The sequence below is a fragment of the Homo sapiens genome, chromosome 10, assembly GCF_000001405.40.
Source record: "Homo sapiens chromosome 10, GRCh38.p14 Primary Assembly".
Classification (NCBI taxonomy): domain Eukaryota; kingdom Metazoa; phylum Chordata; class Mammalia; order Primates; family Hominidae; genus Homo; species Homo sapiens.
Window position 1 is genome coordinate 804,882 of NC_000010.11, and position 17,592 is coordinate 822,473.

Sequence of the window (17,592 nt, forward strand, 5' to 3'; positions counted from 1 at the left end):
CTGGAGCCCCTGAACCCTGGCTGCGGCCACGTCCTCCTGTCACTTTGGGCTCCTCTGGCTAAAAGAGGAACCCTGCCTCTCCTCTCCCGGGCTCCTCTCTCCCCGCCTCTCCAGCTTGCAGTGTCAACACCACGAACCCACGTGAGCTCCACCCTGGGCTTGCTCTATGTTGATGGTTTCTTTCCCGCCCTCCCCCGTCTCCCAGGTGGCCGGGGGCTCTTCCCATCCCTCCTGACCTTTCCCTCTAGGTTTACTTCCTATGAGGCAGCTCCAGAGCCTCGGAGGGGCGGCTGGAGGTCGAGGGCGCGTGGGGGGCCTGGAGGGTGCAGGGGACGCCGAGGGCGCGGGGCCCAACCTCCGGCCAGCCGCCTGGATTCTGGTCTCTGCTCTGAGCGAGGTGCGTGGGTGCCTCCCTGCTTTTGAGCGGGGATGCAAAGGACCCCCGGGCTGCTGCGCGGAAAAAGGCGGACGGGGATCCAGGGCGCAAGCAGGGATGGAGGGAGAGGCCGACACAGACGGCGGCAGGTGTGCGTGGTGAGGCCGCCCCACGCAGGGATGGGAGGGGCGCGCAAGCCGGGACTTGAACCTGCACTGGCTGAGCTGTGGACGCGGCCTGGCGGCCTCTGCGGAGCGCCCTCTGCGGAGCTGCCTCTGGCACCTGTCCACAGCGTCTGGACACCGGGCGAGGAATGGACCCGGAAGCGTCCCCTGCCCAGGGGGTGCTGCAGGTACCCAGGGGAAGAGCATTCACGGGTGCCAGGCCCAAGGGGCTCACGCCAGAAGTAGACCAATTAGACGACTACAAACGGTGCTCAGTGCTGCAGAAGCAGCCGGGGACAGGCGGCTGTCGGAGAGGGCGCCAGGCATCTCTGGGAAGGGAGAAACAAATTCCACGGGAAGGGGCCAGCAGGTCCCAGGCAGCATGGGCAGAGAGTGTGGGGTCAGGGATGAAGTTGCAGGTGGGTTGGGGAGTGACTTGCAGGCGCGCGTCTAAACCTTATTTCTTCCTGCAGGAAACCATTGGAGCGTTTAAAGCAAGGGAACAGGGCGCGCTCACTACCACAAAAGAACCCTCGGGCTAGGTGGAGAACGGGGCAGGGAGACTGGCGACGAGATGGCCGGGCTGGACTCTCGGAAGGATCTGGGGAAGAACCAAGACTGGCCCAGGATTTGGGCTTGCCTGTCTGCGTCGGGGCTGCCCGTGGAGATGGGGTTCCGGTGAGGAGCAGGAGGATCCAGGCCGGAGGGTGGGTGGTCCCATCTGAAATGTGGACTGACTGCAGGTGGCCACGCCAAGGACACAGTGAGACATGGGCTGGAGGCTGAGCAGGCTGGGGCTGAGGAGCTCGAATGTACTGAGTGGACGTATTAGTTACCCCTTCTTTCTTAATGGCCCCAATTTTGTTCAGGGACCCCTCTCTCCAGTCACCATGCACCTTGGGGGAGGTGGCCCCACTCCTGAGCCCAGGATGGACCTCACTGACCTGAAAGCCCCTTCCCCGTGACGGCGTTTGGATCCTAAATCTAGCCAGTAAGATGTGCAATTTACTGGCAACTTGTTTCCTTATTCCCAAAGCCACACAAAAAGAAACTCGTCTCCCCACCCCCACCCCGAGGTTAAGATGTCTGGCTGCAACACTCCCAGCTGCCGCACACTCCTGCTGCCTGCCAAGGACGCTGCCACCACGGTGGCCCGGCCCGACAGCAGCATGGAGCTCTGCCTTCCTCTGCAGGGGACAGTACATTGCACCTGCCCCCGGGCCCAGGCTGCGGCCTCTGTGCTTCCAGGCTGATGGATTTCAGCTGGCATGGAAAGTGCGGCATTGCACGAAGTAGAAAGGTGTGGGCCTGGAAGAAACTACCCAGTAGCAAAGGGCAGACACTGAAGAGGGCACTGCCCCCACTGGCCTCAGGAAACGGGAGGCGCAGCAGCAGGAGAAGGTCAACTGGGAGCTGAGAGCACGAGAGGACTGAGAATTGGCAAATTACAATCTCCAGGAAGGCAAAGAGAAAAAAGAAACAGAGCAGCAGGGAAGAGAAAGGGCAGATGTAATTGGTCCATACGCAACAGTTAGAAGACTGAGGCTGGCAGAGTGGATTACAAACACCCACCACTCCGTGCTGTCCACAGACAACTCCCTTCAGACAGGGCACAGGCGGGCTAAAAGTCAAAGGATGAAAAACGGCACGTTACACCGACAGGAGTGAAAAAGAAAGAGCTGGAATGCCTTTGTTACTGTCAAAACTTCAGAGCAAAGACAATTACTTGGGTCCAGGGTCCTAATGACAGATCAGTCCAACGAGAAGACACGGTGATCCTAAATGTGCATGCGTGGAGTATGTCCCGTTAGGACAGGGGTGAGGAACAGGCTGCGGCTGCCCACACTTGTAAGCGCCCCACATTTCTGCACGCGTAGCTAACGTTAGAGAGAGTCTTTCTATACACTCACATCCTATGTAGTAAACACAGTGAGCTTCGGCTGGGAAAAGCGGCTGCTCCGGCCGAGGAAATCCTGGTCGTGAATGAAAATGCATCTCTGTGGGCCCTCACAGGCCCACGCAGAGGTGAATGAATTTGGCTGTCTTCTGCATCTGCATCTCCTGGACGCTCACTGATCTGCCCCAGGGCCTGGTGGTTGCTGTCCCAGCTTGGTCCTGCAAGCCCCTCTGGGTGGAGCTGCTCACCCCGTGCTCCGGGGCTCACGCCTGCAGGGAGGCCCAGCCTGTATCAGGATCCTCTTCACAACCTCCTGACCCCACCGGGCGGCCCTGCGGCCCTCCAGCTCCACCAGGGCAGGGCTAAGCCTCTCCGGCTGGCCTGGCATATATGCTCCGAGACATCACACACTTGGATATGGCCTGGGCTGACATAAGTTCCATAAGCACCTGAAGGCTGGTGCACGAGGGTCTCTGGCTAAGCCACTGCACGCTTAGGCTGTGCCCTTCCTTCCTGGCCTATGGTCTCACCTGCTGTCCCTCCTCTCCGTGGTGGAGACACCCACACACCTTCGTCTAAGCAGACCAGCAGTTGACTTGGATCGGAAACGGCTTGTGCCCAAGCAGGCCCAGCAACACACGTGGTCCTTCTTCAGTTGGTTCAATCCAATGCTTTAGAGAAACACGGGATTTTAGCATTATTAAAAGATGTGGATATAGCAAGGAATGGAATACAACAACTTCAGACTTTGGTGGGTGGAGGCGGAATACGTAAACCTCTGACAGCCATGAGGAGACCGAGCCCTGGCTCTCTTGTGGGACCTGCTGACCCCAGCAGAGCCCTGCAGACAATCCACAGATACACGGTGGTCACTTCCATCCAGGGAGTTCTGGCAGGGTTTGTTATGTGGCAACAGCAAGTCAATACCTCATCCTAGTTCTTCCCAGGGCAGTGCTGTGCACAGAGAAGACACAAAATATACTTCGAGTTAATACACATTTACCGAGTATCTGCTAATTTGCAGATGGCGTGCTAAGGACAAGGGAGAGGCTGGTGATCCAGATGGCATAATTCCTGCCCTCAGGGAGCACAGTTAATCATACTTTGATGAGTTCTATGAAGGAAATTCTCAGCAACACAGGATGACGGGTGAGTTAAATGCTATGGTGTTAGGACAGAAAGGGAAATAGGCAGTGTAGAATAGAGACCCTAGAGACCCCAGGTGGAGATCCATGCACACGTGGGAAGTCTGCAAGTAACAGAAGCAGCACTGCAGACCAGTGGAGAGACAGTGAACTCACTGGTGATACTGGAAAAAGAAACTTTCCACATGGCATAAAGTAAAACTGGGTTCCTGCCTAAGCACGCACACCACACACACGATTAGGCCCAGCTGGATTAAAAGCGTGTGTGTGTGTGTGTGCGTGTGCACGCACACACACACACACACGCACACATACACACACACTATTAACTTTATGACCCTGGAGTAGGGAAAGGCTTCTTAAGCAAGTCCAAGACACTCAACAAAGGAGAAGATTGATAGATTTTACTACACAATAATTAAACACCGTAAAAGATACTATTCTAAATAAAGAGTTAAGACAAATGGTAGATTGAAAGAAAATATTTGTAACATATATGACAAAGGATTAATAGCCTTAACAGATCAAGAATATTAATTCCATCAGAAAAAGAGTAAAAATGGGAAGACGACATGAAAAGGCAATGCACAGAGGAGGAAGGCAGCAACATGTTAATCAGTCCCCCATCCACTCGGTGCCTGGCACAGGAGGGGCCCCGCCTCCCGCCAGCCTCTTCCTAGTGCAGACATCACTGCTGCCTAAGGATGAGTCCATCACCATGAAGACCCAACGTTAGCTCCAAACAGCTTCATGGACACAGCTTTGGAGAGAGTGCCATTTTAACAAAATCAAAGTCCTGATACAGGAACATGTATTTTTGCAGTACATCTTGGCAGTCACAGTAATGGCTGTCTCCGCATGAGCATCTGATGTTAATGCTCACTCTGAACCACTAAAACACAAAGGGTGAGCCCCGTGTGCCACAGCCAGCCCCCACGTAGGTGAGAAGGCTTTAGGATCCAATCATATATGAGGCCCGTGTTTCTTTCTCATGCACTTATGGGAACAGACAAAAAACTATGTTTAGAAAAGATGCATTATTGAAGAAATTTTAATTTAAAAAAAATCAAAAGAAAAATTGAACAGTGCCTAAATCTTTATTTTCATAACCTACATTTTTTTTCAAATTAGACAGTTTTACACTGAATGACACAAAAGGAAACTTAAATTACCAATAGTTTACATGTAAGCTTGATTCCAGTCTTAATGAAGCAGAACAAAAACGAAACCCTCGAGGAGCGACCACATGACCCCCGCGCTGTGAGCTGCTGGCGGCCAGCGCCCTCGCCTCGATTGTCTGCAGCCCTGTAGTGGGCCGCGAGGCACGCAAGCCGCAACTACAGCTCGCCAGCGGGGCACACAGACAGGCATGCACCACCACTACCCGTCGCCCGGATACACTGAACTGGTTTTGAAGCCTGAACTGCAGAGATCCTAATATAGCAACGCAGGACGTTTACGGCCACCCGCCAGTGACAGCCGGTGATGTGATGACAGGAGGGCCTGGGTGAAAATGTCAAGACACTCACTCTCAGAGAACGACGACTCCACTTGAAATTCATGTCTGGTGAAACGGGACCAGGTTTTTATTCTTCTATTTCAAAATGATAAGCATCATCACACGATTTTACAAGTTAAAATGCCATTTGTCACTGCTGCATCTCTGATTCTATAACCTGAGATACTGCTGGGGGTAAAGGAGGGTGTTAACTTAAAAAAAAAAAAAGTATGAAAGCCACTCTCATCGCTGTATGTGACACAGCACAGTTGGCATGGACCGCCACAGCTTCCTATTATGATAACTCTCATTTTCTTCTGAGCAGAAACTCTTGAAGTAGTATCAGGTTTTTTCAGACATTATATAGCAATCTGTATTTCACCTTTAATTAAAAAGGATGCTATAAAAATCACCTCCGAGCAACGTTTCAGTTCTTGATGCAGAAGACTGCTGCTGGCTAGGCAGTAACTACAGTGTATTGACCGGAGGGCAGCAGAGCCCTCCAGTGGCGACTGGCTAATGCACGCGCTGCCCTCCTCATGCAGCTGTTGAGCTCCCACTTCGGTCGACAAAGTGAAGGACTAAGCTGGCTCTAACCACACACACACACTGCGCTGCAATGCTCACACCTTGGGGGAAAGGACTTCTCATTATTAAAAACCAAGGACTCACTGGCGGACGGGCAGGCCTTGTGTTTTGGGAATGGCTGATGGCGCCCTGGCCCTTCCGTAGCGAAGATGCAGCTCGTAGGCCCAGGCCTCGAGGTTGCCTCCCAGCTTTCTGAGTATTGAGAGTTTGGGTTTCACAGATCAATTATTTCTGATTTTTTTTTTTTTTTTGGTCAGTGAACTGACAACTACAAAAAAAAATCCCCATGTTCTTTAAAATGCATTTGAAAAACACTAGCCCTGTGGCTATTTCTCTGTATTTGAATAATGGCAACTGCTTTAAAGGAAATGGTCAAATAGGCATGTTTTCCTCTGGCAGGGTCAATCATGCTTAGCTGCAGGTGATTTAAATTAGATTACTAGTCACCTTCACTTACGATCCTGCCAGTTTTTGCTCTCTATATACTTTAAAACTCTTTCACATTAGATATGATTAGTATGCATTTACATACATTTTAAAAGAGTATGAAAACATCTGGAGGCTTTTAATAAGACTTTCCAATTCCCTTTTGCAGCAAAGAGGCAGAATCAGTTCAACACACCGATGTAAGAGAAAAAAGAAAATCTCAACAAATCAAAATAATATTCAAACCACAACATTTAGTTTATCTACATCCCGCTCAACAGCAACATTTATAATATATCAATAATCTGTATCAGAATTTTCTCTGTAGGGTACCTTTTTCATATGTTCTGATTATTTACAACTGTACAAGCGAAGCACACTCCAAGTGCACGTATTTAATACAGTATTGACTATTTGCATTTACAGGATTTTCCAACATTCTGAAAAAAGATCAACTGTTGAAGATCTTTAAGGTATATTACAAAAACTACTACTAGCTCTTGTACTACAGTATGCTTACTCAGTAAAACTAGCGACAGGAGATCCACGCAGTAACTGAGTAACTCTGACCCACTCACGCCAACCCAGGGCCGGGCTCCATGGACTCTAAGCTGTCTTATACAAAAGTTAAGGCAAAGTCATTTTCAAGTTTAAATAAAATTCAAGTCTTTAAATATTGGATGGAAATAATTTTTTCTTAAAAAAAACCCTCAGTCTTGTTAAATAACATTTTGTGGAATAAAGTGTATGGTTACATTTAGCAGGAAATATTCTTATTTTAATGTTTGCTGCTTAGAATAAAGAAAAATTTGAGGCATTTTAAAACAAAATAATTTATATTTAACTTTATTATAAACTTGCTAACTTTAGTGCATCCTTGTTCTTCAGAAGTGCAGCACTTCTGGAAGTGAATCAATGAGGCCCTCGTCTTGGAGGTAAAAGAGCAGGAACTTTATCCTCCACCAGCCAAAGAGGGGGAAAAACCACAAACACCATTCTCTCACGATTACATAACTCTTAAATCCATGTGCTGATGCAGAGGTACAGGGAGATGTCCACACGGAGCTGAAGATGTGGACTCTCTCCAACCAGAGTGCTGGGGAACACGGACAGAAATGTGCACAGAGCAGGGCCGGGGCCATCAGCTCACAGGGGTCAAAACAACATCATGGTACAACTTCTGGTAACATGTCAGTGGGCAACAAAGTGTATGTTTTCATGTAGGTTCTATTCACAATGTGCTTTGAATTTATATTACATAATAGCCACTTGAAACTGGAGTGAGAAGCTGGTTACTTGCTTGCAGTGCATCAGAACCAAGGTTTCTGGGGTGGCCCCTGCAGGTTCACTCCGCCCAGGAGATCAAAAAGGATGCGCTCTCTACATTCTTAAATGCCACAGTCCCCTACCAACGGCTTAGGTGGAAGCACAGCTCCCACATCAGCACTGATGCCCTGGCGCGGCCAGCACTGCCTCTACGAGGCCACACCTGCCTCTGCCAAGGCCACTGGCCCTCATTCATCTGCGGGGACGTTCTAGAGATATGCACTTACAGACCAGTTACTTAAAAAAAAAAAAAAAAAGCAGAGTTCCCTTAATTTAGAAAAACTCACTATATATAGCTTGCATTCAGAGCCACATGGAGGCTTAATAAAAAATACCAATTTGTTAGGATAAATGCTTTTTCTATCTTGGAAAAAAAAATCAGACTTATGCATCACCTCCAGTTAAGCACCAACCTAAAATAAGGTTTGTATTAATTAAATCCTGAAAAATCGATTTTTTTTCAAGAGGGGGAGAATCCAACTCACAGAAGAAAACCAACTTGAGGATCCCACAGGCCTCAGACACTGCAAGCTCCTAACCAGCGGCTCGCCCTCGCACTGAGTGGGAGAGTGTCTCGTTTGTGGTTAACACAGCGCTCTGCGACCCCTCCCAGACGTACGGTTTTCACTGAGGAGACTTGGGGGGAGTGCTCTGCTCTCGGCTGAGACGCTTCCCCATGGCCGAGGGCGAGGGCCGGCCCCCCGCCGGCCGCCTCTGGTCTCTGGGGGCTCCAGGTGTGGACTTGAGGGCTGGGGGCTCCCGGTATCTCTCTGCGGGCTCTGCCAGCTTCTTTTCCTCCTTCCCACAACCAACAGTGTTTGGCTTTTGTTCTTTTTGGGGTTGCAATGGGGAAGAAGGAGGCTCTTTACTCGTTCTCTGACAAATCTCTGCGTAGCTGGGCTTTCGCAATTCCTGGAAACAGACAATCCTGGGTTACCTGTGTGAAATGGTGTCTCTAGGGACAAGACAGGAAATCAAGTTCACTTAAGATAAAAGAGTTTTCAACTGTAACTAAGTTTCCATCTTCACTAGTGTTTTTAACTTTTAAAAAGTTCATAAAATCTAATGATTTAGTTTCCCCTGCAGCAGAACACTCCCTCTGTGCTACTGTAGTAATGGATAAAATTAGAAAAGGCATGACGAAGAAGAGTGCTGACTCAACACCATCCCTACCCAGCCCTATGCCTGCTTGGGCAATGCGGAAGCCTAGGAAGAGTCCGGATGCTGCCCACACTGGCTCCGCCAGCTCAGGACAACAGAAGGGTGTCCCAGGTGCCCACGGTGGGCAATGGACCCTCACACGGTACTCAACCCTGAAAGGCAAACTCCAAAAACAGTCTTTAAATAAAAATGTTTTGCACATTTCAAACTACAAAGGACTGGAAATATCTAAGAATGATGAAGACAGCTAAAATCTTCAAGAAATGTGTAATAGGGTTTTCAGGTAAGTGGAAGCATAAAGACTAAATAACAGAAAAGTAAAATATTTCCCTTAATAACTTTTTTTTTTTTTTTTTTGAGACACAGTCTCACTCTGTCGCACAGGCTGGAGTGCAGCAGTGCAATCTCAGCTCACTGCAACCTCTGCCTTCCGGGTTCAAGTGATTCTCCTGCCTCAGCCTCCTGAGTAGCTGGGACTACAGGTGCCCACCACCAAACCCAGCTAATTTTTTGTATTTTCAGTAGAGACAGGGTTTCACCATGTTGTTCAGGACTGTCTGGATCTCCTGACCGCATGATCTGCCTACCTCGGCCTCCCAAAGTGCTGGGATTACAGGCGTGAGCCACAGCACCTGGCCTCTTTTATTATTATTATTATTTATTATTAAAATTATTAATTTTAACCTATAAAAAATCCTTTTTTAGACTCAGCCCAGGGGACAGTAAGGGATTAAACTCCCAAATTCAAGGAAAAGGCTCCCCCAAGATCAAACTACAGAGGCCACAACTCAGAGTAAGAGAGGCCACAGTTCACCCAGTAGGGAAAACAGCAGAAAGGAAGTCGCTGGGGTTCAGGCCTGCTGGGCCCACAGGGGTTGGAGGCTGGTGGGGCCACCATCTTGCTCTTCCTGTCTCTTCATCAGACACACGATGCGCGCGCACGCACGCAAACATACACACACGCGCGAAATGCTGAAATGATCCTAAAGTCTATGGAGAAACAGGAGCTGGGGTCTTGTTACTACTCAAGAAACCTCTATTGACCAACACTGAAATAAAAGGACTACATGGTGGTCTGAGAAAGAACTAGAGTAGTTAGTGGAAAATTATTAGCAAATATTAAAGGTATTTTGTACAGAAAACACAACACAGACAGACGCAAATAAAAACCCACCAAATTAGATGTGATTAAAAAACGAGCAGGTGCAGGAGTGCGCAGCGTCTGTTCACACCAGAGCCTCGCGGCTGTCGTGCAGGAAGGCAGGCACGAGGTACGTACCGTGGCGGCTCCGTTCACCTGCACCGATTTACACGCGGTCGCAGTGAGGGCGGAAGGAAGTCTGTCCACACTGTGGGTTTCCCTCTGTTTCTCCGCCACCTTGGGATCACTGTAAAAATGCCACCCGATATTTGAATCTCATGCAACATCACAGGCCATTCAAGTCAGTCAACACCAAGGCGCTGGAAGAACACCAATACTCACTCGGGTAAATGAGCTGGGGAGGGGGATCGCTCGTACGTTGCTGATACAGCACAAGAAGCCGGCACCGAGGGCTCTCTGGAGACCACTACAGGAAGGGTGTTCACGCTTGCGTCTGCACTGAGGGTCTGAAACAGGGTCAAGAGTGTTCATCAGAGTCCTGCCGGCACTAAGCGGAGCTGGTACCAGTGCCCGTTCACCCCACCCGTGAACAGCCTTGGGAGAGCAGCACAAGGACATAGGGGAAGAGGGTCTTCTCCAGCAAAAATGTCACAGAGCCCAGGACTATCCTCTGCCCCACAGATCGCCCACCCTTCTCTTTCTCGGCAAATGCCCCACTGTTCTTACATCACAGGCCCTTATCTCCTCTCCCGCAATGATGATCTACAAGCTTATTTCTTAACTGAACAGGCATCAAACACATCTCACCCACCTGGCACTTTGGGCCCAGCACGGCACGGCACAACACCACATGCATATCTGCTGAGTGTCGAATCCTAACACAGTCCAACACAACTCATTCACACCGCTGAGAAAAAACAATCGGCGCCTCCACACCCATATAAATGTGAGCTCCCAGCCCTCCCTGAATTCACAACCCCAGGAAGCAGGTGTGCGAATGCCCCCATCTCAACAGGTGAGGAAACTGAGGCCCAATACCTCTAAGTTAATTTGCCCAAGGCCAGGAAGCAAAGGACGGAGTGAAACTTACTCCCTCCTTACTCCAGCCAGCGACCCCTGTGCAGGGGCTATTTCATGTGTGCTTGATCTTATACATATGGCATGTGATGATACACTTGTCATGCAACTTAAAAAAGGCAGGAGGGCAGGTGCTCTTTACACTTCTGCCCTTAGATGAAGGCTGACGACAGACCTAGAGCCCTTCCAGCTGGAGAACCAGAATCCGCTGCAATTCCTGCGCTCGACCAGCAGGAATCCAGCTTGGTGGAAACAAGAGGGCAAAGGACTCCTTTTGTAAAAGCTCATTTTAAATTCAGGGTAGGGGCCGGGCACGGTGGCTCACGCCTATAATCCCCGCATTTTGGGAGGCTGAGGTGGACGAATCACCTGAGGTCAGGGGTTTGAGGCCAGCCTGGCCAACATGGTGAAACCCCATCTCTACTAATAATACAAAAATTAGCCGGGTGTGGTGGTGCATGCCTGTAGTCCCAGCTACTCGGTAGGCCGAGGCAGGAGAATCACTGGAACCCAGGAGGCGGAGGTTGCAGGGAGCCAAGGTCGTGCCACTGCATTCCAGCCTGGGTGACAGAGCAAGACTCTATCTTAAATAAACAAATTAACTAATTAATTCAGGATATGTGCAGTCCCAATGCAAATGAAATGCAGATCCACAACTGCAGGTCATGAAGCAAGTCAGAGTGACCATCACGAGCTCCATGTCAACAGGGGAAGGGCTGAACCCCATCATTTCTGGAGCCTCCACCCCACTTTGAAACCCAAGGGCCACGCTGTTGACTCAAGAAGCTCCCAAGAAGCAGCAATGGAGCCCACTACACCTGGGTGGTGGCATAAGGCTCAGGGTCAGGCTTTTCAAAGAAGCAATTCTTTCTTCAAGAGAAACCTTACACAAGACTCAAACTGGGCACAGCAGGAGCTGCTGTTTCTGAAGCAGGGTTGGAGACCTGCCTCTTCTCCTCCACTCAATACCAACGGGAGTAGGCTACAGTTGGAAAACTAGAATTCATGATCTTTAAACTGCATTTCTTCTCAAGGCACTAATACCTTAGAAATGACGGTGTGGAAATTTAAGGCTAATGTGACAATCCTGGAATGTACTCAATCTCCAAACAGGAGCATGACCATCTACCAATATGAAAAGGACTAGACACGTCACCTGGCTTTCATTGTAAAGATACTGCATCAAAATCCACCTTAAATTCTGCCCTAGGAAGTGAGGAATGGTTCTATCTACTGCGGGGCCTTCCCTAAAGCCCAGGGTGGAAGAGACACTGACTCTGCAGACCTGGGTGGGGTAGCAAGCAGCACGGTCATGTGGCGTGGAACAGACACGTGGTAACTCTGGGGCACAGCTGGGGAAAGGGCCCCTGGCACAGGGGACACCGGCAACCTGGAGTGCTCAGCAGGTTCTTCCTGGGCTCTTCCTATGCACAGTAGGTAACTGGGCAGAAAACTTCCTCTGTACTTCCCAGAGCCTTCAACGCCAGGTGTGGCAGCCGGCCAAGTCCCACTTCCACCTCCTAAGCACATTAGAGGCCAGAGTGCTGGGCTGAGTGTCCTCTGTCATCTGCAGCTCGGGACGACTCCTGGGATGATATTCACTGCAGTGGAGGCGGCACCTCGTGGGGCAGCCCAGACCTCACCAGAAGCTACCGACACTACAGTGAGGTTCTCCCAGGCTTCTTGCTCCTTGTCTCATGTAGATTACTACACATTTTAATCATTTCCAATACAATTCAGATGTTTCCATTTCATTCTGTTGTTTTATAAAATAAAGGCAGGTCTGAACTACAACAATGACAATGCAATCTAAGTTTCTGGGTGAGAGAAAGGGTGTGTACGGCACATCATGGCACACGTTTCTACCTCTGACTTCATCAGACAGCAATGTTAAGGAGAAGGCCCAGCCCTGGGTTCAAGGCTGGCCTTACTCCAAATCTGTGTGACCTCTGCAATCACGTGGCCTCCAAGCCTCTCTTGAGTATTAAAAACAAACATGTATAAAGAGCTCAGCAAAGCGCCTGACACGGAACCCGTACCTAGACACTGTTGGCAACTATTAGACATGCAATATATCCCTTACCCTTTCTTTGGATGGTCCTATTATCAAGCTAGATAGCCTGTTTTCAAACAAGTCCTCTGTCTTCAAATTGCCGGCAGCTCCAGGTAATGGAGGGAAGCTGGACAGCCCCAGCTCGAAGCTTGGCGACGGAGGCTTTGGTGGCGTTGGAGACTGTGTCTGGCTGCTCTGCAACAGAATGACACCCCAGGGTCACGGTATGGAGAGAGAAGGCCAAGCAGCTTCTCGTTTCCACACCTGTCTGGAAAATATCTGTAGAAACAAGCAGATCATTCAACCCAGACAAGGGCTTCCTCACTCAATTGAAGGTTCTCCCAAGCAACTTCAACCATCTAGAGCAGAGCTGTAAAACTGAAATCTCAAGGATGCTGCTGCCCAAGAGATGTGTCACAAAGGACACAGTGAGGCTAAGGTGACATCCAAAGAGCTATCCACCCATGGCTGCCAGCACTCACGAACAGCAGGGGCAGCTGAAGGCAAGGGAGACACTCTGGAGTGACTCCAGCCCACCAGATGGAAAGCAGGGCAGCCTGAGTCTAGACATTAAACTTTCTCACTTTCAGACAAGTGTTGTGTTACTACAGCATAGTTTTTAATGTGAGTCACAAGATAATTGTAAAAAACAAAATATGACACTCTCTCCACAACCTGTGTAAGAAATTTTACACACGTGCATCAAAAAAGTGGTTTAACAAAAGGGAAGGGGGCTCGAATTCTCTGAAAATAAACTTAATGAAAGTTTATATTTTTAAATAATTAAAAACACAGGATTTGACAACAAATTCTAATCAGATTCTTTGACTTCCAAGAAAGCAAACTCAGTATAATAAGAAGTGAGTGTACTTTGTAAGCCCAAATCTCAGAAGAAAGGCAGTAATACCTTTTATTGGAAAATGATCTATCAACCCGCTTTAACAAGCTGGCAGTCATTTTGCGAGTACGCAGTTCCTCGGCTGAAGGACACATGGCACAGAAAGGGGAAATGAGTTTGCATTTAGTTTAGAAATGAATTTATATTAACTAAAGAATACAACTATTTTTAGCTGAAACAATGAGCTACTCTGACCAGGAAGCAAAGATCTCATGGGATCCACCTAACTGGAAAGTGCCAATGTTTCTCCAAAGTTTATACACAGGAAGGTGAATCCCTGCATCAGTAGATTCTAGAGAAAATATGTCAGAAGTGAAAGCAGGTCAAAGGATGAAAATGAATTCAGGCTGACACAAACCCCAGTCCAGTCTGTGTTGGGCATTCCGCTTGCTTCTCTGCTCCACGCGACAGGTGCCTAATTTTAGCTTAGCTTTTCCCAGTTAGGTGTCCTTGGCAGTAAGCTTGTTACCTACTGAGCAGCTGGCTGTTGTATGCTCTCTGTAACCTAGTATTGTGAATATGATGCTCAAAATGATCCTGCAAAGCTCTAAGTTACACATGGCCACTATGATGGCAAAGCGGTTTTAAACATCTGCACGTTTCTGAGGTGAACACAGCTTTTCAGAAGATAAGCATTATTAGAGAGACAGCCTTCCCCAAAAATGTATTTAAATCTCAACTTGTAGAAGCAAAAGAGGCAGGCAACAACTGCCCAGATGTGGGAGTTACAAAATGACATCACCCACAGATGGGACTTGACTTGGAAGGCAGTGTTAAAATCCTCTAGGATCTGAGCACCTCTGGGTGAGGTCTGAGTACTGCTCAGGTCCCATGGGCGTGGTTAGGCCCGAGGCTCACACACTTTTACAGAAAAAGCGTCTGGACCTTTCTGAGGTCCTGAGAGCACGTACATAAGACGATGGGCGTATGCTCTGTAATCAATACAACACTGGGCCACAAGCCGAAGCTTCAAAGCAGGTCACAGTCATGAACACATGCATCAGGAATGCAAGGCAAAACAGAACGGAAGAGAAATGGCTGTGGGAAAACATCACGGCAGGCACAACAGTGCCCTGTGTTTAGATGCTTGACTTGTTAGTCCAAATGGTCACAGGAATTCACTAATTCCAATTGCAATTAACTGGTAAAAACTGCCTTACCAACTAGTTAAACAAAAACTAGACTAAGCCGACCTCATGAAAGGCACAATTTCTGAGTTCTAAACAGAGATTGTATCTTTTGTGATGAGAAAGCACCTGTGTGATGGCTTGAGGGGCTGGACCAGGATTTGTCCAGGTCTCCTCCAGCATTCCTTGTATGGAATTCCACATCTGCAAGCCCATGGAGGCATCCCTCCCATCTTCGTGGGTACTGCTAACTGCCACCTTGCTGTCCCACTACTGGTTCGTGGGTACTGCTAACTGCCACCGTGCCATCCCTCCCATCTTCGTGGGTACTGCTAACACTGCCACCGTACCGTCCCACCACTGGTTCATGGGTACTGCTAACTGCCACCGTGCCATCCCTCCCATCTTTGTGGGTACTGCTAACTGCCACCGTGCCATCCCACCACTGGCTGTGGAGAAGTCCATGCCATCCTCCACTAAAGACCAGCACAAACATTTTCCACAGGAGAAACTCTGATTAATCAACCCAAGCAAAAATCACCATGTCTCATGTACTTACCGCCACAAAAACCTATCACTTATGTTTGGGTCTGTCCTGCCAGTAAGTTATAGCAGAAGGAGATAATGCTTTCTACACAGTGGGAGAGTATTCGAAAGTTTTGAAGGAAAAACACCGACAAACAAATTGCTCCGTGGAAGATGCTTACTCTGCTCATTGAAATGAATGGCTCCAGTCATTTCAGACTCTCCGGTACAGCTGCCACACAGAAGAGCTCACGTGCACACCCGTGTGTAGGCTGCAGTGCATGCGACAGCAAGTTCCTGGCCATGCCTGTGCCACAGCACAACACGCCTGTGCACTGTGGAGTCCTGTGCAGCACATCGCTATTTCCAAAACCTCTACAGTTGCTTCCTCCTAGGCCAGCCAGGGTGTCAGTTATTACTTAGTGGATTTCACGTTACAAGTCTTTTGAAATGCTCATTCTTGTGCCTTAACCTTAATCCATTTAATTAAATCTCAGGTTTGGTATAAATTAGATTTAAATGTCTTGTGAAGAGGTATATGCTTTATGTACTCACTGTAAACTTCTCCTCCCTTTTCTTCCGGTAGCCAAAGGAATTCTTCCTAGAGGAGTGGAAAGTGAAAGACTGTTATTTTTTTCCCACTTGGAGAATTTATTATTGAGCACGTTTGCACTCACATAATCAAAGTACACATCAATTCAGTCTTTATCACTTTGAAACCTTTCAAAGATGACTTTCAATTCTAAAATCCCAACTTCAGGAAGCGTAAGCAGAACAACACAAAGTTGACAGCAAGGGACTAACGTGGAAGTCCAGGCAAGTGATAAAGAACAGAAGAAAACACTGACTGAAACCAACTCCCTGGTGCCTCCTTGGGATGTCTGTTAAGACATGAGTACTGAACATCCACTGGGTGGAAATGACAAGACACATAAAATCTGAGACTGAGCTCCATCAATGAGTTGTTTAAAATGGTGGTGAGAATTTTCCCGGCGCAGATTTGCTTTACATCAGATTTAAAAGACCCCAAATACCGCGTCCCATCCCTTCCTCTGCCCTCTCAGCTTCCTCCACTACTGCCTCAATGGCTGACCCCTTCCCACGAAAACCACACAAGGACCTCTGTGCCCCAAAGACTTCCTGCCCTCGCCTCCCAGCCTCAGGAACCACATTCTGGACCTCCCCATGCAGGCAGCAAGGCCACGCCACACACGCAGTTGATAACCACAGGACAGACACTGATTAAGTGGTGACTTCACGTGGAGACCTAGGACTCTAGGATGGCCAAGACATTCCCATTTCCCTGGACAGGTTATGTGGTCTAACAAGTCACATGACACACATTCATCTCAATGGATAATTTAATGGAATGCAAAGACTCCCCCAAGGGCCTTGTATTACATAACCTGGAAAGGAGTTAAGAAATAGTCTTGACTAATTCCTTCATTTACAGAAAACCAAAAACTAGTCTTGCCTAAGATGGCCTAACAGTGGAAAACTCTGTGGAACCTTGGGCCAAACCCTCTAGGGCAAGGACGGCACAAACCTTTAGGATTCTGGAGCAAATCCCTATTATCTCCTACAGAAAACTTTCTGGAAATAGCTCCTGGCTTTCTACTGGTGCCTTGCGGAGACTGCAGGCCAGACTATGGGACATGGATGAGTACTGAGCCACAGGTGGGGCATGAGTCCTGACAACCCAACCTCCTGTAGGAACAGGGGGCTTGGTGCTCCTTGTCCTGGATCCATGCCTGTGGCCTCACAGGGAGAGAGGGTCCTGGGCCTGCATTATGGACAGCCACCCCAGTACACACCTGGCTCAGCACCACTCCCTAATAGGGGGTGCTCCCAAAACCCAGGGAGCTGAACTCCTACTCCGCTGCGCCAGGATTCAGAAGTAGTGGAAAGGTGGGGCTACAATGACCCATGAGCAGAGCTAGGGATGCAACCAGATGAGAGTCTTCAGTGGGACAGGACTCAACTGGCCCTGGGGACCTGGGAGGGGTGTGAGACGGATGGTGTCAGCACCTGCTTGCCCAGAGGCATTGCCCTGAGCGCTGGACAGAGGGACAGCAGCCACATGGGCAGAGGACATCCCGCAGGGCTCGGCACAGGGCATCCCTCCGCCAAGGGCAGCCTGCTCGTCACTACCGGCTGGGACGCAGGGGCACCCATCCCTTGGAACACAGCGGTGTCCAGGACACAGACCTGCCTGCCATGGGGTCCTAT

General features: G+C 49.0%; 1 protein-coding gene across 17 annotated transcripts in view, besides 5 other annotated features; it reads right to left on the reverse strand.

The window, feature by feature from the left end:
- Window positions 1–2,032: 2,032 nt before the first annotated feature.
- Window positions 2,033–17,592, reverse strand: part of LARP4B (La ribonucleoprotein 4B) — a 181,428-nt gene continuing 165,868 nt past the window's right edge. For 8 of the 17 annotated variants that reach the window (XM_047424894.1, XM_047424893.1, NM_001351277.2 and 5 more), the window contains 5 exons: window positions 15,919–15,964; window positions 12,844–13,008; window positions 10,065–10,189; window positions 9,756–9,969; window positions 2,033–8,332 (listed from right to left, as the gene is read on the reverse strand). In XM_047424894.1, the coding sequence (XP_047280850.1) occupies window positions 8,045–8,332; window positions 9,756–9,969; window positions 10,065–10,189; window positions 12,844–13,008; window positions 15,919–15,964 (838 nt within the window). In that variant the 3' untranslated portion in view covers window positions 2,033–8,044. Of the gene's footprint in view, window positions 8,376–9,755; window positions 9,970–10,064; window positions 10,190–12,843; window positions 13,009–15,918; window positions 15,965–17,592 lie in introns of all 17 variants that reach the window. The other 9 variants (XM_047424897.1, XM_047424896.1, XM_017015988.2 and 6 more) reach the window with 4 other exon arrangements.
- Window positions 4,413–4,913: an enhancer, noted in NCBI's record as "H3K4me1 hESC enhancer chr10:855234-855734 (GRCh37/hg19 assembly coordinates)". NCBI's record gives its function as "activates a minimal SCP1, AML or CMV promoter by ChIP-STARR-seq in primed H9 embryonic stem cells {active_cell/tissue: H9 hESC(primed)}" and the evidence as "EXISTENCE:reporter gene assay evidence [ECO:0000049][PMID:30033119]".
- Window positions 4,471–4,676: a silencer, noted in NCBI's record as "fragment chr10:855292-855497 (GRCh37/hg19 assembly coordinates)". NCBI's record gives its function as "represses an EF-1alpha promoter that drives an FKBP-Casp9 reporter gene in an ReSE screen in K562 erythroleukemia cells {active_cell/tissue: K562}" and the evidence as "EXISTENCE:reporter gene assay evidence [ECO:0000049][PMID:32094911]".
- Window positions 4,914–5,414: an enhancer, noted in NCBI's record as "H3K4me1 hESC enhancer chr10:855735-856235 (GRCh37/hg19 assembly coordinates)". NCBI's record gives its function as "activates a minimal SCP1, AML or CMV promoter by ChIP-STARR-seq in primed H9 embryonic stem cells {active_cell/tissue: H9 hESC(primed)}" and the evidence as "EXISTENCE:reporter gene assay evidence [ECO:0000049][PMID:30033119]".
- Window positions 9,331–9,831: an enhancer, noted in NCBI's record as "H3K4me1 hESC enhancer chr10:860152-860652 (GRCh37/hg19 assembly coordinates)". NCBI's record gives its function as "activates a minimal SCP1, AML or CMV promoter by ChIP-STARR-seq in naive H9 embryonic stem cells {active_cell/tissue: H9 hESC(naive)}" and the evidence as "EXISTENCE:reporter gene assay evidence [ECO:0000049][PMID:30033119]".
- Window positions 9,832–10,332: an enhancer, noted in NCBI's record as "H3K4me1 hESC enhancer chr10:860653-861153 (GRCh37/hg19 assembly coordinates)". NCBI's record gives its function as "activates a minimal SCP1, AML or CMV promoter by ChIP-STARR-seq in naive H9 embryonic stem cells {active_cell/tissue: H9 hESC(naive)}" and the evidence as "EXISTENCE:reporter gene assay evidence [ECO:0000049][PMID:30033119]".